The sequence below is a fragment of the Homo sapiens genome, chromosome 3 (genome assembly GCF_000001405.40).
Source record: "Homo sapiens chromosome 3, GRCh38.p14 Primary Assembly".
Lineage (NCBI taxonomy): Eukaryota > Metazoa > Chordata > Mammalia > Primates > Hominidae > Homo > Homo sapiens.
The window spans coordinates 96,789,473-96,804,872 of record NC_000003.12 but is presented as its reverse complement, the minus strand read 5'-3'; the positions used below and the strand labels follow the sequence as shown (position 1 = coordinate 96,804,872).

Sequence of the window (15,400 nt, the reverse complement as noted above, 5' to 3'; positions counted from 1 at the left end):
TATCTAATGATATATGAAATGAAAGCAATTGAAGCCATGCCATCTTAGACAGCACTGTTTCATCAATGGCTTACAATAGAATAATAGTAACAATATACATTTGAAAATGTGAAGCTCGAAGAATAAACTGCCGAAAATCACATGGGCAGTAAATGTCTCAGCATTTGCTTATACTCTTCGCATTTAATCTGATTTTGGGCTGACAACAAATACTTTCTAAATAATTTTATTTATCATTACCCATTCATGTGGGTTTTTTTAAATTGCCTGTAATGTAGTGGCATAAAACCAGAATTTCATCATAATCAAGGTATCTGTGGGGTAGAAATTCTGATAGGGCACAGAAGAAAACAAAGCTTGTCTCTCATCTACAATGTCTGCTTAGAAAACTCAAGGGCTGTGGAAAACTCAAGGATCTTCACTTAGATGTTTGTAAATTGATACTGGCTATGACCTCAGCTAGGAATTCCAGTCAGAACTTCCATACCAGATTTCTCCATGTGGTCTGGGTTTCCTTGGAGAACATATGGCCCACATCTCAATGGGAGGAATATAAATATCATGTTGTAAGAAGAGTAAATGTGATGGAAGATCTTTTCATGGCAATTTTGGAAAATATAACCTATCATGCCTGAGAAAGCCTAAGTCTGTGAAAATAAGATAGGTGTGTCTGTAATGAAAGCAGCCAGAACCTCCATTTGTTGGGCAAGAAATGAGAGAGACACATCAAAGAGAATATTCCACCAGGTCATCTAGAATTCAGTTTCAGTTTCATAGGGATACTCATGGGCTAAGGAATCCCAGCAATGCAAAACAGGACAAAAACATCAGTCTGTAGGGAATGTGGAATAAGTTACAAAGGTCCGATTGAAATGAAAATGTATCTTCTCAGCTCAAAGGAAATAACTGCATGAGAAAGACTGACAGAGATGAAAATCTCTGAAAAGTTACAATAAGAGCTTATGAGAAAGAAAAAGGTAATTGATAAACCCCAGAACTAGAAATGGAGAAACCAACATCCATGTAAAATTTTCTTTTTTTCAGGGTTAACCATGAAAGTTGAGTTGGAGGAGGAAATAAATATTTAGGAACCCATACCTTTGAAATAATTAATGCTTAATTAATATTTGATGGATATTATTTATTCTAAATTGAGTCTGTGACTATTAGGTTAAGTGACTATCCATTGTCTAAAACAGTGTACTCATGGGATATGCACAGGTTTTTTTTTTTGTTTTGTTTTGTTTTTTTTTTTAAATTGAGTCTTGCTCTGTCACCCAGTCTAGAGTGCAGTGGTGTGATCTCGGCTCACTGCAACGTCAACCTCCTGGGTTCAAGTGATTCTTCTGCCTTAGCCTCCTGAGTAGCTGGGATTATGAGTGCACCACCACGCCCGGCTAATTTTTTTTTTCTTTTAGTAGAGACAGGGTTTCACCATGTTGGCTCAGGCTGGTCTCAAACTCCTGACCTCATGATCTGCCCTGCTCAGGCTCCCAAAGTGCTGGGATTACAGGTGTGAGCCATTGTGCCCGGCAGGATATGTACAAATTTATACTTAGTGCTGGGGAAGATTTGATTCCTAAAGGGGTAGGAGGAAATCAAAATAGATTTTTTGTTTAGATGATATTCCTTAAGTCATATGTTTAAGACACCAGTAATGTGTGGCTTAGTTTGTTCTGGTCTATGCATTCGTCTTCCAGAAATCCATCCACATTCCTATCTAGCAAATGGCCTGACTCTGGTACTGCTGTTAAATTGCACACTTTTATGCTTTATTACTAGCAAGGAGAGAAAACAGGAATTTTCCATTGAATCTAAATCCCAGACAAAAGAAAATCTATAGTAAGTCTGGTATTGAAATTGAGCACCAGATTTGCCAACCATTTTTATCTCAAGTTGTTATAATTTCTTTTTTAAAAATAAGATTTCTGTTACCATCCTGCTGATTTTCTGTTGAAATTTTTGCCTTGCCCATCTCCTTTCAAGAAAGGTAATTCTTTTTAGGACAAAAGTAACTCATTCTATGTGATAACTGGTTCACATGTATTGAAGATATCACTTTATACTAGAGTTGATTTAGGAATTATGGAATGAACTATGGGCTAAGGAATCCCAGCAATACAAAACAATAAGCTCCTGTCACTTCAACTGAGGCTATTTGACCTATGCACTGCTGTTCAAATTACAGGTTCACAGGTCTGACCTTATCCTGAAGAACTGGAACAGTATTCATCAGGTGATAACTTGACAACAATAGAAGCATTAGAAGCATATACAAAGCAATCTAAAAGTTATCACTTTCTGGAGAGTCAGTCAACTGGTTTGACAAATGAAACTTTCTAACTGCTGAAGTGAGCTGTCTAGCATTGTGGGAATGCTTTGCATTTAATAGTTAAAAAACAAAAACTCTATTAATATTATACCAACAAAATAATAAGATAAAATATTAACTTAATAATCCTATGAACAAATTGTAATTGCAGTGCTAATTTGCATTTTAAGGGTAGATAAATTTGTTGATATTTAGCAAGAGGAAAGATATTAGGATGAATAAGAGAATATTTGTAGGTATGGGACATAGTAAGCATGTTGAAAATATGCTTGAAAAGGAACTTTAATAGGATTGCTTATTTAAAAAAATTTTTCACATAGAGAGATTTTCACTATTCTTAATAGTAACTGATAAGACCTTTGGACTGAAATAATGTGAGCCATAAGTTATTGTGATTTTCTATCAGTGTTTGAAAGATAAAAACATTAATATGAACAGCAGATCTTCAAGATAACTAGGCAAAGGAAGTATTGATATAACTGAGGGTATTGCTGCGTGCTGGGGAGCTGTATGAAATGTGATGGAGTTGTTCTTAAAATACTAATGGAACAAAAATTCTCTGAAATAAAACAACACAACTATTTTTCATGTTATTTTTAGCTTTCTACAAGAGAAAGCACTGAAATAAACTTATCAGAATATGGTGAATAAAAACCATATATGCAGAAAGGGATATTCATCTATGTTTTTAGCATCTATATGTGTAGAATAAATGCTTAAAACATGTTTATTTTATGAAAATTTTATGTTAACTAATAATTATCTTGATAATCCTGTTTTAATTGAAAGTAATTGGTCAATGGTTAAAGTAATAAGGTAGTTGAGAAAAATATGACAAAGAAAATCATAATGGGAATTGGGCCAAGATGGCCGATTAGAAACAGCTACTGTCTGAGGCACTCACAGAGAGGAATGAAAGGGGTGAGTGAATACACCACCTTCAACTGAAATATCCAGGTACTCGCGCTGGGACTGATCAAGGAAACAACTCGACCCACAGAGAATGCAGAAAAGCAGGGTGGGATGATGGCCCTCCTGGGAGCAACATGGAGCCAAGGGAAACCCCACTCCCAGCTAAGGGAAGCAGTGAGTGAGTGTGCAACTCGGGGAAACCATGCTTCTCCCATGGATCTTTGCAACCTGCAGATCGGGAAGTCCCCTCATGGGTCCACTCCCTAGAGCCTTGGGTGAAACACACAGAGCTGTGTGGAATCTTGGCAGAGCAGCTGCTAAGGCAGGCACAGAGACCCAGGAGTTTTACTTACTCCGTCCCGGGATCCCCAGCAAGGGTGTCTGCAGCTTAGGCAAGGCAGGAGGGCTGTGCATACCCACAGGTAGGGGACCGAATCCAGAGAGCTGAGCAGCATCAGTCTGTGGGTCTCACTCCGATGACACCTCAAAAGATAAGACCCACTTCCTTGGAATCTGGAGAGTCCAAATGGTTGGGACGAGGAAGGGGTTCCCCAGCACAGCACAGCTGCTTTGCCAGAATGTGACTAGACTGCTTCTTTAAGTGGGACCCCGATCCATTCTTCCTCACTGGGCAGGACCTCCCAGCCTAGGCCTCCAGCCACTCCTGCCCCCGTTCTACAGACAGCAGAGTTCTAATTTCTCCCTGGAATGGAGTGCCCAGGACGCGGGACAGGCTGCCTTCTTGGCTGTTTAGGTGCCTCAGCCAGTTCAATCTGTGAGCCTTGGAGAGCCCGAACCGATAAAGGGCTGAAGGGATCTCCAAGCAGCACAGCTGCTCTACCAGAAAGCAGCCACAGTGCTTCTTAAAGCAGGTCCCTGGTTCCATTCTTCCTGAATGGGTGAGAGCTGCAAACTGGTGTCTCCAACCACCTCCTGCAGGTGCATTCAGGCCAGCAACAGGTCAGTACCCACCTAGAATGGAGCTTCCAGAGGTCGGACAAGGCTGCCATCTTTGCAGTTTTGCAGACTTCACTGGTGATACCTCCATGTATGGGAAAAACCAAGGCAACTAGGGTCTGGAGTGAACTCCCAGCAAAATGCAGCAGCCCTACAAAAAAAAGGCCAGACTATTAAAAGAAAAACACACAATCAGAAAACAACAACAAAACCCACAAGAAACCCATCCAAATAGGAGCAACCTTAAATATTGAAGGTAGATAAGCCCACAAAGATGAGAATGAATGAGTGCAAAAATGCTGAAAATTCAAAAAGCCAGGGTGCCTCTTTTCCTCCAAATGATCGTGACATCTCTCCAGCAAAGGAAAGAATTCCCTGTTTAATAAATGGTGCTGGAATAACTGGCTATCCATATGCAGAACATTGAAACTGCACCACTTTCTTATACCATAAACAAAAATCAACTCAATATGGATTAAATACTTAAATGAAAACCCAAAACTATGAAAGCCCTAGAAGAAAACCTAGGCAATACCATTCAGGACATAGGCATGGGCAAAGATTTCATGATGAAGACATCAATAGGAATTGCAACAAAAGCAAAAATGGACAAATGGGATCTAATTAAACTAAAGAGCTTCTGCAAAGCAAAAGAAGCAATCAACAAGAGTAAACAGACAACCTACAGAACAGGAGAAAAATTTTGCAATCTCTTCATCTCACAAAGGTCTAATATCCAGCATTCATAAGGAACTTAAACAAATGTATAAAAAAACAAACAAACAACCCCATTAAAAAGTGGGCAAAGGACATGAATAGACACTTCTCAAAAGAAAACATGCATGCAGTCAACAAAGATATGATAAAAAGCACTACATCACTGATTATTAGATGTATGCAAATTAAAACCACAATGAGATAACATCTCACATCATTCAGAATGGCTATTGCTAAAAAGTCAAAAAATAACAGATGCTGATGAGGTTGTAGAGAAAAGAGAATGCTTAGACACTGCTGGTGAGAGTGAAAATTAGTTCAACCATTGTGGAAGATAGTGTGGCAAGTCCTCAAAAACCTATAAACAGAAATACCATTAGACCCAGCAATCCCATTACTGAATATATGACTAAAGGAATATAAATAATTGTACTATAAATACACCTGCATACATATGTTAATTACAGCACTGTTTACAATAGTAAAAACTTGGAATCAACCTAAATGCCCATCAGTGGCAGACTGGATAAAGAAAATATGGTACATATACACAGAATACTAGGCAGCCATAAAACAGAGCCACATCAGGTCCTTTGCAGGGACATGGATGGAGCTGGAGGCCATTATCCTTAGGAAATGAATGCAGGAACAGAAAAGCAAATACCACATTTTCTCATTTATAAGTGGGAGGTGAATGATGAGAGCACACAGACACATGGGGGAAAACAACACACACTGGGGCCTGTTGGAGGGTGGAAGGAGGGAGATCGTCAGGAAGAATAGCTACTGGATGCTGGGCTTAATACCTGGGAGATGGGATGATCTGTGCAGCAAACCACCGTGGCACACGTTTACCTGTGTAACAAACCTGCACATCCTACACATGTACCCTTGAACTTAACATAAAAGTTGGAAATTTAAAAAAAACGTAATAGATTGATTTTTTCACTTCTATAAATAAAAACAATATTAAGGTTCTTTAAAGTGAAAGTAAACAGATTGTAACAATTCATTTTCAAAATATAAAGGGTAAATGCATCGTTACTGCATTCGATAGAAAGAAACTTATTAGTGGTGATTAATCTAAGTTACAATTTTATTTGCAAACTTCAACAGACCCAAAACTACTTATTTAAGAATGTTTTGGATTGATGTTTCCCCCTTAGCCCATATCCATGCAGTTGTGGGATTAGTTTTTATCTTTGTGAGAATTTGGGTAGACCTTTCAGAACATAGTATCTACTGAGATATGCCATTAATTTCTTCTTCCTGGAATACACATGCTTTTCCTCATATCACAAAGTGGAGTTTAATTCCTCATCCCCTTGAATCTAGACTGGCATTAGCACTTGTTCGGACTATCAGAATTCTGTGGAAAGGATATTCCAGGACATCAAAACCTAAGGTCATAAGAAGTCTTTCAAGTTCTTCCTGGGTCTCTTGGAATGATTAGGATTCTGCCTGTTGGGACATGGTCACCATGCTACAAGAAGGTCAAGCCACATGGGGAGGCCATTGTAGGTATGCTGGTTGACAGCTCCAGGTGAGCTCTGAACTAACAGCATCAACCAACAGCCATGTGAGTGAGCCATATTAGTTGATCAGTCAGTTGATCTGATTCCAGCCTCAGCCACATGAGAGGCCCTAGAACAAATTAGCCAATAGAGCCCACTCAACCCATAGAACCATAGGTAAAAACAAACTGTTGTTTCAATAATTTGAAAGAATAATAAACTGCTGTTTCAAGTTTCTAATTTCTTAATGGTTTGCTGTTCAGCATTAGAAAACTGCAACAATTCTCAATGAGCATAGTTTGGTATCCAACACATAGAATTTTTCCTCCAAACACTGACAGATATAACATTGAGACAGTCTATGTTGGTCAAACAAATATGACATATGTAGCAGGTTTAACATTAGTTAATTTTAAGCCAATGATGCTGCTTCCCTAACTTTACAAATCATAGGCACAAAAATACAATAATATGTTTACAAGTTTATACATATTTTAGGGAGAAATTAAAATTATATTTATTAATAAATTTTTCTCCTCATAAATTAAGAACCCATCCTGAGCTAGATGTTAACAGGGCTACTAGTGTATAGGCCTCAGCTGTAAGGTTAGCATTTACATCTTAAAACATCAGTCTGTTTTAGGAAATGATATGGTTTGGTTCTGTGTCCCCACCCAAATCTCACCTTGAATTGGAATCCCCATGATCCCCATGTGTCAAGGGTGGGACCAGGTGGAGATAACTGGATCAGGTGGGCAGTTTCTCACATGCTGTTCTTGTGGTAATGAGTGAGTCTCATGAGGTCTGATGGTTTTATAAGCATCTGGCATTTCTCCTGTTTGCACTCATTCTCTCTCCTGCATCCCCGTGAAGAGGTGCCTTCTGCCGTGATTGTAAGTTTCCTGAGGCCTCTCCAGCCATGCAGCACTATAAGCTAATTAAACCTCTTTCATTTATAAATTACCCAATCTTAGGCAGTGCTTTATAACAGCATGAGAACGGACTAATACAGGAAACATAACAAAAGAGGCAACAATTATTTTCATTATTTTCCAAGTGTCTGAACGAACAGACTTGTTCATGTTTACAACTTAAAACAAAATTATTGCCAATATCCTGAAGAAAGATACATGTTCTGTTGCATTTTAACATTTTATATGCATTTGGGGTTATGTTTATTTACTTCCCCAATTGCCAAGAGAATAGTATTTTCACTTTAAGGTGAGGATTTTACCATTGCATTCCTTAAAAATTTATATCTAAGTTTTGGAAAAGTAAAATTTGGAACCCTTCCTAATTTTCTACCTTGTTTATTTCCCCTTCTTTTTGTTTCCTTTTTGCCTCCATTTCTTCATTTGTTTTTCTGATTTGTCACTCTTTCCATTTCATCTTTTAGTAAGGTGGGGTAAGTAAAGCACAGTATTGAGAGTCAGATGACCTGATTTCAAATCTAAATTCTGTAAGTAACTATATCTTGGTCAGATCACTTACAATCTTGAGCCCTAAATTAATTCCTCTAAAACTTTAGAGGATTAAAATAGATTAATTTTTCTAGCTCTTGCTACTTTAAAATTACACAATTTCAAAAACATGTGGAAAACAAGGCAGTTACAAGGTAAACACCACAAACTAATTTGGAGATGATATAACAATGTATCAAGCACTTATTATGAGCTACCCCAATGAACTAACATCAGAATAAAAAGATAAATTACTTTAGGCTACATCGTTCTCATAATACAGTAAAAGAAAGCATAAAGTTTCTCTATGAAATAAATTTCTATTCAATGACTCCTAGGAGAAATAAACGTAATTCCCATGTACATATAAGGAATATTGGGTAACATAATTGAAACTGTATTCAGTTATGGTATTAAAAGTAAACCTTCTTTGTACTTCCATAGTATCAGGGACAGACATTCCACAATTATGAATATACCAGAATATATATTTATATATTTTAAAATGTATATGTATATTTATAGCATATATTGAAGCTGTATAGGGGTAACTGACCTTGTCTTTTTCATTTTTTTATTCCTAGCACCTCCACAGTGTGTGGACTACTCAATAGGCCCTCATTAACTTTTTCAGAATGAAGAGGCATAGCTGGCATGGTGGCTCAGTTCTGTAATGTCAGCACTTTGGGAGGCCAAGGTGGGAGGATGGCTTGAGACAAGAAGTTATAGACAAGCCTGGTCAACATAGCGAGACCCTGTCTCTACAAGCAGTTGAAAAATTAGCCAGGCATAATGACATGTGCCTGTAGTCTTAGTTATACAGGAGGCGGAGGTCGAAGGATCACGTTAGTCCAGGAGGTCGAGGCTGTAGCTAGCAGTTGTGATCACATCACTGCACTCAAAGCCTGGATGACAGAGTGAGATCAAGGTTAAAAAAAAAAAAAAAGTACAGAATACATCTTCAAATGGATATTTCTGATATAGTTACTTAAATGATAACAAAGACATATAGTTACTTTGTAATTTAGAAAAGATATGGCTGTATAACTCTAATACAGTCAGGTAAGCAGCTTTGTGTTGCCTTAAGTATATGTACAAAAATTCTAACAAAATGCAAAAAAAAAGAAAAAAAAAGACCCTTAAAGAGCATTTTCCCAATGATAAATATCTCATTTGAGTTTATGACAAGTACCAGTTTTCAGTTTTCAGTAGATTCAATATTATAATTGACAGTAGTAACTGTAGTCCCATGTTTTACATTGTTGACTATTGCTATGATTTAAAATTAGATGGTAGAGGTAACATCTTCCATGGCAATTTACAATTCTGACATATGTTATCTCTCAAGTGGAGGCTTGTCTTATTCTTTATCAGGTTGGATCAAAAGGATTCTTGAAGCAAGATTTTTTTCTCAGAAAATTGTTTAAACCTTTCCTAAGAATTATTCAAAGGGATGGGCTTCAACATGGCTGACTAGACGCATCTGTTCTTTACCTCCTCCACTAAGAAGAACAAAAGTAATGAATAGATAAGTGCATCTTGAACATATCATCCAAGAGAGAACACTGGAATTTAAGAGAAAAGTGACAGGGAACTTCTGAGGCAAGGAAGGACAGGGAAGTGAGGCAGCCTTTTTGGATGGGAGCTGGGAGCAACTCCCAAGTGCAGACAAAGGGTAAGGGAGAGATCCCCAGCAGTCCTCATTCCCTCTATAGACTCCCATAATCCTAGCCATAGGAGAGCCCATCAACCCTCAGGGGCCCTGAAACTAACATAGGGAGTTACTAGGAAACCGTGTGATGGCACTGCTCGAAGGAAAGAGCTTGTGTGTGGTCCAACACATTCCCTAAGACCTAAGCAGCTACAGCAAGGCACCATTTTAGAGCCCAGCCCCAAACAGATGCTCACTGTCATGGGGTCCAGCTGTGCCAGGACTAAGACATGAGTCTTAGCAAGGCACAGGCTACCCTTGCTGTGCTGAGGCACAAGTATGGCAAGCGCTCCCCACCTGCTGGCCTATGCAGCCACCACTGATGATAGGCCTACCCTCCCCCATGGCAGGGTTGTAGCAAGGCTACTACAGCCCTTACCCAAACATTCCACTGCAGGCCTGTGGATTGATTGCTTGGCCCCTGCCTACCGTGGCTGGCACCTGCCTATCTTAGGGGGGCCTGAGGACAAGCCTACCATCCCAGCTTTGTCCCTCACTGCTGTTGTGCCAGAGCATACAGTTTGGTGAACTGGGGATTGGCCAGTGCAGTCTACCACTGTTGACACCTGAGCACTTCTCCCAGAGGCCTGAGGTTGGGCCTACCCACCCTGCCACCACCACCATGACTGGCACCTACTTGCACATGCCACCTGTGAGTCTGGAAACTGGCCCATCCAGTCCATCACAGCCACTACCAATACCAGCACACACTTCTCAGGACACAGAGGGTTGTCCTGCTAATGCTATTGCCATTGCCTATACCATGTTGGCTGTACAGGGGATGGAGAACCTATCTACTTGCTAAGCCCAACTTTGCCACTACTGGCATTCAAGCAAGCTATGTAGAGGCCCAAGAATCAGCCTGCCTGGACCTGCTAACACTAGTGCAAGTGTATACCATGCTGGAGCCCAAGAATAGCCACACTCTCAACCCACTTCCACCATCACTGGAGCCTTAAAACTGAGTCATCCAGCATCCCAGTACCCAGGAACACTTCACCACAGCATCCATTAATAACCAAACCCTAAGCCACCTAGGAAATCACAGACACCACGGACACTGTTTATAGCCAAAGAAATCACACAGACATTGCCCCCCTACATGCACTCAGTTTCAAAGCCAAAGTGCCCTACCCAACCAGTAACATAGATACATCTTCAGGAGAAAATCCTTTCTTATGAAAGCAAACTCAAAAAAAATAGAAGTGATTATTACAGCAGATGTGCAGATATCAACATAAGTATAAGGGAAACATCAAAAAGCAAGAAAATATATGACACCTACAAAGGAATGCATTAATTCTCTAGCAACAGATCTCAATCAAAAACAAATTTGTAAAATCCCAGAAAAAGAATTCAAAATGCTAATTTTAAATAAACTCAGCAAAATACAAGAGAATACTGAACAACAATACAAAGAAATCAGAAAAACAATTCAGCATATGAATGAGAAATTTGCCAAACAGCTATCACAACAAAGAACCAAACACACTTCAGGAAATTAATAATTTAAATGAAATGCAAAACACATTTGAAAGCTTCAACAATAGACTGGATCAAGCAGAAGAATCTCCGTACTTGAAGACAGTTCTTTTGAAATAACTTAGTCAGACAAAAATAGAGAAAAATGAAAAAAAAATGACCAAAGTCTAAATGACATATTGGATACCATAAAGTGACCAAACATTCAAATTTTCAGTATCCCAGGAGGCAAAGAGAAAATGAAAGATTTGGAAAACCTATTGAACAAAATGATAAGTTAAAACTTTCCATGTCTAGTAAGAGATTTAGAAATCCATATACAAGAGCCTCAGTGATCCCCAAACAGATTCAATACAAAAAGGGCTCCCTATAGTACATTATACTTAAACTGCCAAAAGTTAGACACAAAAAGAAATTATGTAAAACATCAAGAGAAAAGCATCTAGTCACCTATAAAGGATCCCTCATCACACTAACAACAGACTTTTCAGCAGAAACCTTACAGGCCAGGAGAGAATGGAATGACACATTCGAAGCGATAAAATATAAACAAAACCCTATTAACCAAGGGTACTATATCCAGCAAAATTATCATTCATAAATGAAAGACAAATAAAGTATTTCCTAGACAAGCAATAGCCAAGGGAAGTCATCATTCTGATCAGCCATACTTAAGGGAGTGCCATACCTGAAAGTGAAAGAATGATATTTAGTACCATTAAAACAAAGGAAAATATAAAAACCACTGCTAGAGAAAACACACAAGCAAGAAAGTGTAAAGATGCAAGTGTTACCATGACAGAAAACCACCAAACAACAATGATAAACAATAAGAGAGAAATGAAGGAACAGAGGACATGCAAACCAATAAAAAATAATTTAATAAAATGACAGGAATAAATCTTCACATATCAATAGTAACCGTTAATGTAAATGGGTTAAATTTTGCACTTGAAAGATATATGCTGACTGAATAATGTATGAGAAAAATGGACCAACTATAGAATGCCTATAAGAATCTCATCTCACCTGTAAAGACACACATAGACTGAAAGTAGAGGAATGGAACAAGATAGTCCAAAAATACAAACAAACAAAAAACAAAACAAAACAAAACCCCAAAGGGAGCAGAAGCAGCTATATTTATATCAGAAAAAAATATACAACTTCTATCAAAAACAGTAAAAAAAAAAAGACAAGATCATTATGTGATGATAAAGGGATCAATTCAACAAGAGGATTTAACAATCCTAAACATATATGCATCCAACACCAGAGTACTCAGATATATAAAGAAAATGTTATTAGATTTAAAGGGAGAAATAGGATTCCATACAATAATAGCTGGGGACTTCAACACTCCAATCTCAGCATTAGATATATCATTGAGACCGAAAATTAAAAAAGAAACATTGGATTTATATATTTAGATCAAATGGACCAAACAGGCATTTATATAACATTTCATCCAATAGCTACAGAATACACAATTTTTTCATTGGCACATGGAACATTCTCCAGGATAGACTATATGTCAGGACACATAAATCTCAAAAAATTTTAAAAAATCAAAATTATATCAAGTATCTTCTTGGGCCATGGTGAAATAAAACTAGAAATAAATAATAAGAGACACTTTAGAAACTGTAGAAATACATGAAAATTAAACATGCTTCTAAGTGACCTTTGGGTCAAGGAAGATATTAAGAAGGAAATCACAAAAGTTCTTGAAACAAATGAAAATCAAAACATAACATACCCCTGGGAGCAGTGGCTCATGCCTGTAAATCCCAGCACTTTGGGAGGCCAGCTGGGGTGGGCAGATCACATGAGGCCAGGAGTTTGAGACCAGCCTGGCCAACATGGTGAAACCATGTCTCTACTAAAATTACAAAAATTAGCCAGGCATGGTGCTGTGTGCCTGTAATCCCAGCTACTAGGGTGGCGGAGGCACAAGAATCGCTTGAACCCAGGAGGCAGAGGTTGCAGTGAGCCAAGATCGTACCACTGCACTCCAGCCTGGGTGACACGGTGTCTAAAAAAAAAAAAAAAAAAACATGATGGACAAAATCTAACAATACATTAAGGGACTAGAATAGCAAGAAAAAACCAAACCAAAAATTAACAGAAGGAAGTAAATGCTAAAGATCAGTGTAGAACTAAATGAAATTGAGACTGAAAAAATACAAGAGATCAAAAAGATAAAAAGTTGTGTTTTTGAGAAAACAAACAAAACTGACAATCTTTGAGCTAGACTAAGAAAAAAATAGAAAAGAATCAAATAAATAAAATCAAAGACAAGAAATAAGACATTATAACTGGTACCACAGAATTAAAAAAAGATCACTAAAGACTATTGTGAGTAACTAAACTATGCATCAACTTCTAGGTTTGACATTATAACTGGTACCACAGAATTAAAAAAAGATCACTAAAGACTATTGTGAGTAAGTACGCATCAACTAATTGGAAAACCTAGAAGAAACAGATAAATTTCTGAACATTTTTCTATTTCTATACAACTACCTAGATTGAATCAGGAAGAAATAGAAAGCCTGAAAAGACCAAGAACAAATAATGAGATCAAAGAAATTAAAAAAAAATTCCTGACAGAGAAAAGGGGACTGGATGACTTTACTGCCAAATACTACCAAACTTTCAAAGAATAACTAACATCAGTTTTCCTCAAATTATTCTAAAAAAAATAGAAGAGAGAGTTTCCTCAGACATTCTGTGAGCCCAGCATTAGACTAATATCAAAACCAGACAAGGATACAACACACAAAGAAAACGGCATACCAATATCTCTGATAAACCTAGACAAAAAAATTCACAAAAATTCTCAACAAAATAATAGCAAACCAAATCCAACAGCATATTTAAAAAACATACAGCATGATTAAGTGGGATTAATCCCAGGGATACAAGTACCGTTCAACATATGTAAATCAATAAACATGATATATCATAGTACTAGGAGTCCTAGCCAGAGCAGTCAGGCAAGAGAAAGAAATAAAAGGCATCCAAATTGGAAAACAGGAAGTCAAATGGTCACTCTTTGCTGATTATATAATATTCTTTTAGACTCACCTAAGGACTCCACCAAAAAAAAAAAAGTTAGATCTGATAAATTCAGTAGCATTTTTATACACCAACAATGAACTGGTTGAGAAAGAAATCAAGAAGGTAATCACATTTACAATAGCCACCAAAAAAAAATGCCTAGGAATAAATTTAACCATGGACATAAAAGATTTCTGCAAAGAAAACTACAAATACTAATGGAAGAAATTGAAGAGGACTGAAACAAACGGAAAGACATCCCATTTTGACATTCATTTTTTTGATCCATGAGCGTGGGAAAGACATCTCATGCACATGAATCAAAAGAATTAATATTGTTAAAATGACCATACTGCTCAAACCAATTTTCAGATTCAATGCAACCCCTATCAAAATACCATGTCATTTTTCATGGAATGAGAAAAATCAATCCCCAAATGTAAATGGAACCAAAATGAGCCCAAATAGCCAAAGCAATTTTGAGCAAATAAAACTAAACTGGAAATACCACACTATCTGACTCCAAAATATGTTAAATGGCTATAGCAACCAAAACAGCATGGTATATCTATCTATCTATATCTATCTATCTATATCTATCTATCTCTATGGATATCTAGATAGATATCCATAGAGATAGATAGATATAGATAGATAGATTTTTTTTTTTCGAGACAGAGTCTCGCTCTTGTCACCCAGGCTGGAATGCAATGGCACAATCTCAGCTCACTGCAACCTCCGTCTCCCGGGTTCAAGTGATTCTCCTATCTCAGCCTCCTAAGTAGCTGGAATTACAGTTGCCTGCCACCACTCCCGGCTAATTATTGTACTTTTAGTAGAGATGAGGTTTTACCACATTGGCCAGCCTGGTCTCGAACTCCTGACCTCGTGATCCGCCTGCTTTGCCTCCCAAAGTGCTGGGATTACAGGCGTGAGCCATTGTGCCCGGCCAACAGCATGATATTAACATAAAAATAGATATATAGACAAATGGAAAAAAAATAGAAATAAATTCATGTATTTATACCAAACTGATTTTTGCAAAGACACCAAAAAAAAAAAATGCACTGCGGAAATGACACAGTTTTAAATAAATAGTGCTGGAAAAATTATATTTCCACATGCAGAAGAATGAAATTTGACCCCTATCTCTCACCATTTATAAACATCAACCTAAGATAAAGACTTAAACATAAGACCTGTAAGTATAAAACTACTAGAAGAAAACATAGGAAAAACAATAAAACAATCC

General features: G+C 37.6%; 1 annotated feature.

Moving 5' to 3' along the window:
* Positions 10,063–10,607: an enhancer, noted in NCBI's record as "H3K27ac-H3K4me1 hESC enhancer chr3:96513110-96513654 (GRCh37/hg19 assembly coordinates)". NCBI's record gives its function as "activates a minimal SCP1, AML or CMV promoter by ChIP-STARR-seq in primed H9 embryonic stem cells {active_cell/tissue: H9 hESC(primed)}" and the evidence as "EXISTENCE:reporter gene assay evidence [ECO:0000049][PMID:30033119]".